This window comes from Homo sapiens, chromosome 10, assembly GCF_000001405.40.
Source record: "Homo sapiens chromosome 10, GRCh38.p14 Primary Assembly".
Lineage (NCBI taxonomy): Eukaryota > Metazoa > Chordata > Mammalia > Primates > Hominidae > Homo > Homo sapiens.
This window is the reverse complement of record NC_000010.11, coordinates 113,961,492-113,975,144: the sequence shown is the minus strand read 5'-3', so window position 1 is coordinate 113,975,144 and position 13,653 is coordinate 113,961,492. Positions and strand designations below refer to the sequence as shown.

The following is a 13,653-nucleotide window of genomic DNA, read 5'->3' as shown; positions in this document are numbered from 1 at the left end:
ATTATTTTCACATTGTTTTCTTAAAGTTGACTTCATCTATTGATTTTCAAATAGAAATTCATCCAGTGTGGGCTTTTTCATCCCTTGCATAACTGAATGATCATGATAAGAGTAGTCGGCCGGGCGCGGCGGCTCACACCTGTAATCCCGGCACTTTGGGAGGCCAAGGTGGGCGGATCATGAGGTCAGGAGATCGAGACCATCCTGACTGACACGGTGAAACTGTGTCTATACCAAAAATACACAAAATTAGCCAGGCATGGTGGTGGGCACCTGCAGTCCCAGCTACTCAGGAGGCTGAGGCAGGAGAATGGCGTGAACCCAGGAGGCAGAGCTTGCAGTGAGCTGAGATCACGCCACTGCACTCCAGCCTGGGTGACAGAGCGAGACCTCCGTCTCAAAAAAAAGTAGTCATAATTTTGATTTTTATAACATCTTATTTTTATTTTCTATGATTTGAAAGCCCTTTTTATAATGCAATAGCCCGATAATTTTTAATAGCTTCCCAAATTACTTTAGCTTGGTGCACGGTAGGTCTGGAGTAGTTATAAAACTCTTTTGGCTTAAGTACTGTTTAAAAAATCTGATGAAATCTAAGAATTGTCTTTCAAGACAAATATGCATATTCACATATAAAATTTTTTTCACAAGATTCCAGGGGATTTTCACCTTCACCTAAGATCCCTAGGGAGCCAGTGACCCCTGGCTAAAAATTCCAGTTGTTAGGGGGCATATTTTGGCCTTAGTATTTTAGTTACATTGTAACACCCTTATCCTTAGAATTGTTCACAGAGATCTGTTTCTGCTGGTTTTTACTCATAGTGCCTTGTTTTCTTGTGTGCTTCGTTATTTTTTTTTCACCATGATCTGCTCATTTCCTTGGGAAATTATTTGTAGGACTTTTTTTAGGTCTAAGGTGGAGATACATTTTTTTCAAAGAGGATTTGTGTTGGCTTCTGCCAAGTACTTAGAGACTCTATTAGTCCAGAATCACTTTGAATTAAATTAATGGCTTAAGATTATTTTGACCATCCAGGTGTTATGAATTTGGGCTTTTTGTGGTGGCCTAAATGGTAGTTCCACCAAAAGATATGCCCACTTCCTAATTTATGGAACCTATGGATGTTACCTTACTTTGGAAAAAGGGATTTTGCCAGTGTAAATAAATGAAAGGATCTTGAGATGAGATCATCCTGGCTAACCTAGGCAGATCCTACATCCAGTGACAGGCATCCTTATAAGGGACATACAGAGGAGAGACACATGAAGAAGAAGAAACAGAGATTACAGTGATGCTGCCATGAGCCGAGAAATGCTAACAGCCACCAGAACAGAACAAAACCTCCCCCAGAGCTTTTGGAGGAAGCACAGCCCTGTTATTACCTGCATTTTAGACCTCCAGCCTACAGAACTGTCAGAGAATAAATTTCTGTTGTTTCGAGCCACCCAGTTTGTGGTCATTTGTTGTAGCAGCTACGGGAAACCGATATAGGCTCCAAATCCACCACACCAGCTGGCCTGTCATTTCGGCTTCTCTGGGAATTTCCCCCCTATTCCCGTCCTGCTCAGCATCAGGACATCATTCCTTCCTGTCCTCTGGGGAATGAATGTCAAAAACTGTGAAGGGCATTTTACCTACAAGTTTGCCACAGTTTCATGGATGCTGGCAGAAGACACGAGACTCCTGGGTCAGAGACAAAGGATGGTTTGTTACTCACAGTAATAGCAGTAGCCAGAGTATCAGCATTTGTGTCAGCTCTCGAACCCCAATTCCCACAGAGTGACATGAGAACAAAATAATACCTGCACATGCAGTGGGTTTCATTATAGGAAAGAAACCTTGAGTTTAGTGAACTGGATCTTTTATATTGGTCAAAAAACATGCCTGCCTTTTGTACCACAAAGAGGCATTATCTTTCTTATGCTAGATAGGAAGGCTGCATGGCCTTTGCTTTGGAGAGAGACACCATCTCTATCTTCTAATGCCATTTATTATACAAACATCCTTGTGAAGATAGTCTGGAATGAAGGTAATCAGTGCTTCAATTCACAAGATGTATAGAAACGTCAGAGATTCATGGAGAGTTGTTTTCCAACTGGGAGGTGGGAAGGAGAGGGTTGGGTTTACTTTGAATTCACTCTTGCTCTGAAGGTATATTACTTACCGATTGCTGCATAACCCAATCTTCCCTATTACCAGAAATGGACTAGGACTGCTCATGTGTACCTGCCTGGTGGCAACAGAAACTAACATAAGTATTAGACGGTTCCTCACATGAAACAGCAACGAGAGAAATGTGCTGGCTTCAAAGTGGGTGATAATCTGTGTTTCACAAACTACTCAGAGGTTTAGTACAACTTATTGCAGCCCATCGTCCTGCAAGGCTCTTTGAGCAGCCTTTCAAGGAGGTTCCAAAAGAGGAATTCTCAAACTATTTTAACCAGCCATAGTATTGTTTAAAAAAAAACAAATATCACAAAACACAACTTCCCAGGGTGATTACTTTGAAGAAGGCCTTACTTATTTGGCTCTAGGGTTCAGTGTGACTGTTAAACAGCAAGTTCTCTGGATTAGAATTTTTTCTTTTATTTACTGAAAGTCAACTAGCACTAAATTATGAGGGAGGATTCAGCCAGAAACTCAGACAAGAGATAAAATAAGAGAATGAAAGCTACAACTGAGACATTTCCCTACCCTATGGCACGTTCCCTCCTAAAGGGTCTCCTTTGTCAATGCTTAACTCAAGGCTTATGTGGAAGAAGGGGGTAGAATCTGGAAAAAACCTACCTACCCCAGCCCCTGTCTTTTTTTTTTTTTTTTTTTTTTGAGACAGGGTCTCACTCCCCAAGCTGGAGGGCAGTGGTGTGAACGCAGCTCACCTGGGCTCAAGGGATCCTCCCATGTCAGTCTCCCAAGTAGCTGGGACTACAGGTATGTGTCACCACACCGGGCTAATTAAAATATTTTTTCCTTATTTTTGTAGAGATGGGGTCTCACCATTTTGCTCAGGATGGTCTCGAACTCTTGGGCTCAAGAGATCCTCCTGCCTTAGCCTCCCAAATTGCTGGGATTATAGACGTGAGCTGCCATGCCGAGCTCCTTCATTTGTTTTTATGTGTTGCTTCCATATTTGAGGTGCTGTCTGGGCAGGCAGCTCTTCCATTCCTGTTTCTGTTGAGTATTTCACCACCTGCCAGCCTAACTTGATGGCCCATTTGGGACTTGAAAGATTGAAGCCAACTGGGCTGAATTGAGTTAAACCCCAGTTCAACAAAAATGCTCAGTTTCTATCCATTACATTAATTCCACTGGTATGAGACCAAAATCCACAGAGGCAGAAGCAAATAAACTGCAGGTGTAATCGATTGATTGAGCTGGGAGGGGGAGTAAGAGAGAAAGAAGAGAGAGAGGGAGAAAGAGAAAGACAGAGAGACAGACAGACAAACATACTGCAAAGTCAAGAAAATCCAAATTGCCTTTATTAATTGAGGTAAGACATTTCTGAATTCAGTACCTAACTCAGAACAAAGCCAACCACTGAGATGTGAACCTTCTTTTTCTCCTTTTTTTTCCTTTTTATTTTTGAGAGCAAAGCACATGTTTATCCTGCGTCAGCAAGCAGGACAAATGTGAGTTTAAGGCAACCAAAGGACATGAACTTGAACTGAAGTTTGAAAATATAGACTGTCCTAGATAGAATCTCAAGATTAGGAGACATTTTGATGTAGAGCTGAACGTAAGTCTTTTCTCCACCAAAGAGCCAGTTACCCTTTGTTCTGGAAGCAGAAAGGAATAATCTACGTTTCCCAGAAAGAAAAAAATTAAGTCTCCCATTGAGCAAAAATCGCAGTTTTCCCAAGAATTATTTTGGTTCTTTAACATGGGTCAGGGAGGAGATCAGACCATGAGTTGGAAGGCACTTGTAAAGATGAGGGTGCCTCCAAGGATGGAACTTGTAGGCTTTAATAGAGTTTTCTAGAAATGCACAATTACCTTTGGTGGCTATGGGTTAACTTGTGGTCCAGGGTACTGTGAGTGGTCACATTTGAAAGAGTGACAGAAACAATATAGAAAGAGCCAGGCCATTGCCTCTGCACAGATCTTGTAACAAGACAAAAGGCCTTCAGCATTTACTCTGCTGCAGATCAGGGTGTAGAATCTTCTGAATGAGGTGTCATAGAGTCTGATAGCCCAGACATCAGGGCCTAGCCCCAACTTGAAAGTCAGTCTGGGCCAGCTTCTAGCTCAGCTAAACTAGGAGCAGAATGGAACTTCAGAAGATGTCTGAGTCAGCTTTCTTATTTTATATTGGGGAAAGTGAGGCCTGGTGAAGGGAGGTGTTTTCCCCAAGGCTTTGTGGTTGCTGTGTTAGTCCATCCTCCAACAAACAGACTCCAAGGTAGGAGTCAACTTACACAAATTTTATTAGAAAAAACACCTTGAGTGTGGGAAAATGAGGAAGTAACAGGAAAAGACCACAATATTAATCTGGTCCCTTTAAGCTTAGGAGGAGAGTAGCAAAGGCTCTCAAAGTTGTTAGCCCAGGATGCTTGACTATCCTTTGATAATTTATCTTAAACCTGACCATACCTTTGCAACAGTCTCTTCATTAAACTTTCTTCCATTACCTCATTTGAGCATGACGTTTGTTTTTCACCAGGACTTTGATAGATACAAATACTTTGATCATCAGTCAATACTAGAGAGTTTATTAATTAGCATAGGGATTTTTAGAAATGCTTTTTATTTATATTGGTGAAATGAGTGGTGTTTAAGATATTAGAATTAGTTGGCTAGAAAGAATGTACAGGCACCTCTGCCCTTGCGTAAATATAAGAATGTAGGAAGTTTGACAGCTTATTCCTTCTGGGTTACCATTTGGGCCTAATATCCACTTAATTGTTTAGCCTAGGAATCTTGACTGTGTCTAGACGGTTGAAACTTGCCAGTAGAATATTCTTGCATTTGCCTCAAGAGAACCTTTTATGCCAGGTACTCATGGAGCCCAAAGGCAGATTGCTGGGACCTTGTGGAATTTCTAGGTAGGTTGGTTGTTGTGGGAAGTCAGGGACCCCAAATGGAGGGACCAGCTGAAGCCATGGCAGAAGAATGTGGATTGTGAAGATTTCATGGACATTTATTAGTTCCCCAAATTAATACTTTTGGAATTCCTTATGCCTGTCTTTACTGCAATCTCTAAACATAAATTGTAAAGATTTCATGGACACTTATCACTTCCCCAATCAATACCCTTGTGATTTCCTATGCCTGTCTTTAATCTCTCAATCGTGTCAGCTGAGGAGGATGTGTATCGCCTCAGGACCCTGTAATAATTGCATTAACTGCACAAATTGTACAGCATGTGTGTTTGAGCAATATGAAATATGGACACCTTGAAAAAAGAACAGGATAACAGCAATTGTTCAGGGAATAAGAGAGATAACCTTAAATTCTGACCACCAGTGAGCCAGGTGGAACAGAGCCATATTTCTCTTCTTTCAAAAGCAAATGGGAGAAATATCGCTGAATTCTTTTTCTCAGCATGGAACATCCCTGGGAAAGAGAATATACGCCTGGAGGTATACGCTTATAAACAGCTCCCCCAGGTGCGCCTGCCTCTTATGGTTGAGGCTGCAGGGGTCAAATAGACCCCAGTCTCCCGTAGCGCTCCCAGGCTTACTAGGAAGAGGAAATTCCCACCTAATAAATTTTGGTCAGACCAGTTGATCTCAAAAACCCTGTCTCCTGATTAAGATGTTATCAATGACAATGGTGCCCGAAACTTCATTAGCAATTTTAATTTCACCTTGGTCCTGTGGTCCTGTGATCTCACCCTGCCTCCACTTGCTTTGTGGTATTCCATTACCTTGTAAAGTACTTGATGTCTGTGACCCACACCTATTCGCACACTCCCTCCCCTTTTGAAACTCCCTAATAAAAACTTGCTGGTTTTTGCAACTTGTGGGGCATCACGGAACCTACCGACATGTGATGTCTCCCCCAGACACCCGCCTTTAAAATTTCTCTCTTTTGTACTCTGTCCCTTTATTTCTCAAGCTGGCCGATGCTTAGGAAAAATAGAAAAGAACCTACGTGAATATCGGGGCAGGTTCACCGATAGTTGGTGACTGTTTTATTTCTTTGTTGTGTCTTGGGCCTGCTGGGTTATAATAGTTAGTCTGTGTGTCAGAACTTGGCTGGGACTTTTGGATTCTGGGGTGAGAGACCTTTAGCGCTCCCCTACCTCAAACTATTAGAAGCTACCAGTACCCGAAAAAACAACTTAATGACTGTGAACATTTAAGCTGGCTTAGATCAGACCACAACATAGAGCAGCACTCTCTCCTCTCTTATCAGGCCTTTCCAAATCCTGCACATCCACAAAGATCGACATGGGAGAAGGAAGAAAGAGCTTTGCCATGTCTTATGAAACACTGGTGTGGGTGCCTCGCCTGGTAGCTGATGGCTCTTCTCACAGCAACTCCGTTTTCAGCGACAGGCTCTTATTTACTGTTGGGGCCACAAGTAGTGTCATGCCTTGTTAACTATATTTATAAATGCAAATCCCATTGCAAGAAACCTCCAGAGAAAGATCAGATGCCTAATATCCTCCAATCCCAAGAGAGGAAAAAGGCCCAGGGCGGCTGAGACACTTGTCCAAGGCCACTCTGTATTTGGTGGATAGAGGCATAACTGGAGCCTGAGTTGTCCACCATGGCTGGTGTGCTGCGTGCAGCTGAGCTGGCTTCTCGGAGAAGCCTTGTATGGTAAGTGAAAGGGCAGGACCTTGTGTAGGCACATTCATCAGTTACCAAGCATTCACCACATAGTTACCATGCACCCAGGATGGGGCTGCGTGGGACAGGTGAAGAAGAGAAAACGGTCCCTTTCCTGGAGAGTATACCGTCAGCTCGGGGAGCTACAATTCACACAACACAGTTAACAGCAACATCCTAGCTCACTGGAGTGGGAGTAGCTCTAAGAACACAGGAGCACAAAGGAAGGTAATTCAGATGGTGGTTAAAAGGTCTGCTCAAGGCCGGGCGCAGTAGCTCATGCCTGTAATCCCAGCACTTAGGGAGGCCAAGGCGGGCGGATTACCCTGAGGTCAGGAGCTCGAGACCAGCCTGGCTAACATGGTGAAACACCATCTCTACTAAAAAATACAAAAATTAGCCAGGTGTGGTGGCACATGTCTGCAATCCCAGCTACTCAGGAGAATCATTTGAACCCAGGAGGCAGAGGTTGCAGTGAACTGAAATCATGCCATTGCACTCCAGCCTGGGCTATAGAGCAAGATTCTGTCTCGAAAAAAAAAAAAAAAAAAAAAAAAGTTCTGTTCCGACTCAAACTCAGATAGGCCTAGCTCGAATCCTAGCTCTCCTGCGGCAAGTCACTTACTCCTCTTAAACCTCCCTTTGCCCATCTTTGAAATGGGAATAACAACAGTACCTCTGTCATAGGATGGTGAGAATGAAGTAAGATCTTGCCTGCCAAAGTGCTTAGCAGAGAGCTGGCCAACATGATAAGTGCCCTGTTATCTAAGCTAACATCAATTACTTAATTTGTTTACTAATCAAAACGGAGAGGAGTGCCATACGCATACACCTCGCTTCTCACTGAATATCACCATGCATATGGTATTCCAAAGCGGTCCATGCGGGGGTAGAATAACCCTGAAGAATGCTAATTAGATGACTGGCATGATCTGCCAAGTAAACATGATCTAGAAATGGGATTAGCCAAGGGTCAACCAATTATGGTGGGATTAATTGGCTACTGATTTGTCAGGGGTGACCGGGCGCATCACACGGTATTTGGGGAGCAGTAATCACCTGCTTTCCCACACACTTGTTCAGTTTCAGCCTTTCAATCCGCCCCCGAATGCAAGCACAGTACTGAAAGTGACTGTGCTTGTTTTGAGAATTGCCTTTGCAGAGCAACTACCATGCTGCTATGCAGAAAAGGATTAAATTGTTCTTAAGATTTCTGTTTGCTAATCTCTTCACTAGCTTCACAAACACCCCAAGGTCATGTTTAGTACTAGATCCATCTACAATAATACCATTAGGGCAGAGTGTACTCCTGTCCCTGGGTTCTTCATGAGTTAATTAAAAAGGTGATCTATAGGCTTCTGCACAGAAACGGAAACAAAAAGAGAATGTCTTTCTGTAAAGCAGAATGACAAACATTTCCATCTAAGGAAAATTGAGTCAAAGTTCCAGAAGCCTGAAGAGGTAACTTTGTCTCAAAAGCCAATATGCCTTTCATCTGAAAGATGTTTTCACCTAGAGAACAAAGCCTTAATCGGGCACAGACACTGCAAGGTGCCCACTGGCTTAGAATCAATCAGAAATTCAACATATTCAACTTGGCTCATAATCTGACCATTAACACATAGAATTACAGTTGTCTTAGCACCTGCAATGTTGGCTAACCTGTGGCTTTTTCAACCAACCTATGAAGTGACACCAATTTAACCAAGGAAATAAGAATGAGATTTACCATGAAGAGAAATTCCATCATCCCTGATTTGCCTTGAAAGCTCTGTGACAGACCGTCCACTTCTAAGGAAAGTGTAGCCTAATCTAGTCATCAGCTTTGCAGTTTCTCCTGGGAACCCTATTTGCTCAGTTACCTAGAAGAAGATTAACATGAACTTTAAAAAAATCAATGTAATAATCACTTTGCACTCACAAGAATGGCAACTATTTTAAAAAAACAAACAAACAGAAAAAAGCGTTTATAAGAATGTGGAAAAATTGGAATCTTTGTGCACTGTTGATGGGATTATAAAATGAAAAACAGTATGAACATTCCTCAAAAAACTAAAAATTAGAACTGCTATATGATCCAGCAATCCCACTTTCGAGTATATATCCAAAAGAATTGAAAACAGGATCTCAAAGAGATATTTGCACACCCATGTTCACTGCAGCATTATTCACAAGAGCCAAGATATGGAAGCAACTCAAATGTCTACTGACAGATGAAAAAGAAAATCTGGTATCTGCATATAATGGACTATTATTCAGACTTAAAAAAAGGAAAGACATCCTCTCATTTGAGACAACATGGATAAACCTCGAGGACATTATGCTACGTGATATAAACCAGTCACAAAAAGACAAATACTGTATGATTCCACTTACGTGAGGTATCTAAAGTAGTCAAATTTATAGAAACAGAAAGTTGAATGGTGGTTACCCAGGGCTGTGCGGGGAGGGGAAGGAAAAAGGGAACTTGCTTAATGGATGTAGCGTTTTAGATTTGCAAGATGAAAAAGTTCTGGTGATCCATTGCACAACAATGTGAATATATGTGACACTATTGAGCTGTCCACTTGAAAATTGCTAAGCTGGTAAATTTTATGCTATGTGTATTTTCAAAAAGCTAAGATGAATGCACAGATGGAGGAATAGATAGATGGTCAGATAGGTAATGAAGCAATCATAATGAAATATTAGTGCTGGAATCTAGGCAGTGGGTATGTAGATGTTTATTGTAAAATCCTTTAAACTTTTTTTGTGTTTGAGTATTTTCACAATAAAATGTTCGCAAAGAATAAAAACTCAATGTAGTAATTAATATTTATACACACGCACCCCACATATGATAGCTATACTATATATGTAGCTAATATTTGTAATTATAACTCATTTTTATTAAAAAAAGAATTAAACCTCTCTGAAAGAGTAAAATATTATAAAAGTAAAAGGACTCTTCTTGCTCAACATTTTTTCATCAGCTAAAACATGTACATTGGCTTTTAGAAAATCATTTGGGTTAGAAGGGCTCTTCAGTGAATAGCAACTAACCTCTGCTCAGCCTTCTTTGACCCCAGTTCTGCTGCCTGAGCCAACTGCATTTCATCACTTCCGTTTATTTGTTTCTGGAGGTTATTTCTCTACCTTTCCCTGACATGCTTATACCACTGCTTCTTATTTCACCAACTTCAGGTATTGTCTTTGACTTCCTGTCCTGAGAGATGTGACTTTGGCCCCGAGACACCATCCCCCACCTCCCCACAGCTCATCAGCCACTTCACCCTCCTCCCCATTGCCTTCTCTCCTCTCCCTTCTCCCTGTTAAATGCACGACCCTGAGTTCCTCCGCCAGCTATCTCTGCAACTTCAAATGCACACCCAGACCCCTGTTTTTTGTGCCATCAATTATCCATATCAACTCTTGGTTCTCTGTTTGTAAGGTGAGGATTGTGGTATTTCCATCCTCCTCCATACTTCCTCTCCCACTTGCCTTCCCCCAACAGACTATTCACTATGCCTTTACTTTTATATTCTTTTATATTGTTACATCCATTTGAATATGCCAAAGCAAAACACCAAAAACCCTATAACAACTCCATGTTGAAAAATCTTGTTCTAACATGGTGAACAAGCACACTGCTAAGAATATTAAGCCCCTCATGAACACCCGGACAGTTGGGTATTAGCCACATTTGCCAACATTAAGCTCAAAAAACAGGTGCCTCACTGCTTTTATCCTGGGGAGGTAGATAGCCAGTCCATCAGGATCCCTAGTGGAAAAAAGAGAAGAGGCATTTCACAAACTACTATGTTATTAAAAAAAGAAAAGAAATAAAAAAGGTACCACATCTGCTTTGCATGCTTTCAGGGTCTGAAAGGCCTATACAATTGCATTAGGTTTTTAAAAATGAGATTAAAGGAATTAATGTAAGATAGAACCATAATGGATTATTGGAGGGAAGGTAGGCACATTTAGGGGATGTTCTTGGCCTTTCCGTTTGGCTGACCTATCCCAAAACTTTTCCTCTGGGTCTCTATCAGAGACATGGCAGTAACCTGGATGGACCATAGGCACGAGTCCTGTAGCCCATTCCTCCCGAAGCTGCAGCCTTTTTCATCCTGCCATGTATCTGAGTTATGCACGTGCCTTGACACCTTCACTAAATCATATATAACTTGAATCCGGGGACTCAAGGGTTTCAACCATCTTTGTTTTCTTCTCCATTACTGTCACTGTGCTAGAGCCCAAGTCTCCTGAAATGCGCCCTGGAGCCTTGCTCAAAGATGTCAACCCAACATGCTGATCAGGTAGCTATTTTGTCTGAAGCTGGTAGTTCATGACAGGCTCTGACATGTGCTGAGCTTGCTCTGTGCCCTGCTTCCCCCAGGACATTGCAAATGGCTTTCTCCTAGGACTGTGTGTCATGCTTTTGGAGTGTGACAGCCTCAAATTGCTCTGTGACATAGTTAATGAAGTAGAGAACACCTCCTATTTTCTTTTTTTTCTTTTTTCTTTTTTGACCGGGGGAGAAAGCACAAATTCAGAGCAATTTCATGCCTTACTATAGTCGTGTGATAGTTTGCTGCCATTGCTAAATTGAGCTTGCATTGACCTCTGCTAATTCCAAGTCTGGAATCCTGGCCTCTACTTGACTATGATCGGCAGATAATGGCACCAGAATGATGCCCACCTCCTAATGTCCGGAACCTGTGAATATGTTACCTCACATGGCAAAAGGGATTTTGCAAATATGATTTATTTTAAGGACTGTGAGATGGGGAGATTATCCTTGATTGTTCAGTGGGCCCAATCTAATCCTATGAATCCTTCAAAAGAGAGGAACTTTCCCAGCTGTGGAGAGAGGAAGACATGACTGTGGGTCAGATGGATGCAACATGAGAAGGACTTTACCTGCCATTGATGGCTTTGAAGATGGAGGAAGGGGCTATGAGCCAAGGAATGTGAGGGGTTTCCAAAAGCTGACAAGGGCAAGGAAACAATTTCCAATTTCTTCCCTCGAAACTCCATAGAGAAACACAGTCCTGCCCACACCTTGATTTTAGCCCAGTGGGACCTATTTCAGCCTTCTGACCTATGGAACCGTAAGATAATAAATGTGTGTTATTTTAAACCACTAAGCTTGTTGTAATTTGTTACAGTAGCAAGAGACAACTAATGTCCTGCCATAGTCTGGACTGATGTGTCCTCAAAGATATAAAAGCAACCAATTCCCCACAGCTACTAGGCACTTGAGAATTGCTTATGAATTGCATATGGGGAAATCTCTGCTACTTGGGACTCTTGCAAAATATGTCATGGTGATATATGAGTTTTTCCACAGAGATGAGGGTTTGCCTGTTTAGGACCCAAACATTTTTTATTTTAAACATTTTGTAAGATAGATATATATATATATACATATATATATATATATAGAGAGAGAGAGAGAGAGAGAGACACTGAGTCTCACTTTGTCATCCAGGCTGGAGTACAGTGATGTGAAGTAGTTCACTGCAGCCTCAAACTCCTGGGCTCAAGTGGTCCTCTCGCCTCAGCCTTACAGGTGTGCACCATCTCTCTCAGCTAATTTTTTATTTTTGTGTAGAGATGGAGATCTTGCTATGTTGCCCAGGCTGGTCTAGAACCCTGGGCCTCAAGTGATATTCCTGCCTCAGCCTCCCAAAGCACTGGGATTATAGGTGTGAACCATCGCACCCGGCCAGATGAACATTTTTAATCCATAGGAAGATTAAATTCTGTCTAAATCATATATATGTATTATAACTCCATATATCTCTCCATATTTCTCTCCATATATATTTCATCATATATACAGAGAGAGATTATGTTCTTATTATTCCTTTCTGCTTAAATGGAGTACATTAAACTTTATTTAACATTTTTGTGATATGTGGGAGAACTTATTTTGGGCACTAATTATTATCCAATACTACATCATTGCCCTTGGCGATGACTGAATTTCAGAAAACTACCACATATTGCAGATTCTCTGGAAAGTTCCCAATTTTAGATTCTGTCCTACTTTCCTTATTCTTATCAGACTACTTTTCCTGATAAAGTGCTCAGGCACCATGGTCACTTTAGTTGAAAGTCTGCTTGTCTTCACAATAAATGTCCTCAAACTACCATCTAACAGGGAATCCTAAACCATTCTGTTTGCCTCAAATACATTAAAAAGAAATAAGAATGGTTTGTAACTTCCTGTTTGTTACTTTTCAACCCTGATCAATTATTTTCTGCACAAAATTTTTAGTTAGGCAATGGACTATTAGGATACTGACATGGTAAGACTAGGTCATTTGAGGCCTTGAGAAGTCAGTTGACTTTTGCGTCAAGCAGCTGATTTGTAGCAGCAGGGCCACGATGAAAACTCAGAATCCCTTAGTTTCTGTTCTTTGACCTGGTAGACCTACCAGCCTGCTTTCAGCTTAAGTAGCAAACCCTGCATTTCTCCCAAGGAACCCTTTAAGCCAGACTGCAGACGTCAATCAAAAAAGCCAGTGTGATTACGATCTCCCTTCTCAAAATAATGCTTCCTTTCTAAACCCAGTCTCCGAAGATCAAAACCAAAGTAGGCCTCCAAACTCTAACCACAACCGTCTTCAAAAGTTATGGGGAGTCCCATCTCTTAGCAGTCTAGCTGCAGCTGCTGAAGTCGCCACCTGCTCAAATGACTGAGACAGGAAGCTCCTTTCCAGGGGGTGCCATGGCTGGAACCAGTTTTATACAAGAGGACTCCTAGCTTCTTGGTCCCCGGCTTCAGACTTATTTAATTAGCTGAGACACTCCTGTGGTTGCTAATCACTCTTAGTACAAAGAGGCGTCAACAAGCCTGTGGGTTAAAAGCAGGTCTCTTCTGAGTTT

General features: G+C 41.8%; 1 annotated feature.

Annotated features, from left to right (window-relative positions):
- Positions 4,155-4,214: an enhancer, noted in NCBI's record as "active region_4075". NCBI's record gives its function as "activates an Ori minimal core promoter by ATAC-STARR-seq in GM12878 lymphoblastoid cells {active_cell/tissue: GM12878}" and the evidence as "EXISTENCE:reporter gene assay evidence [ECO:0000049][PMID:35858748]".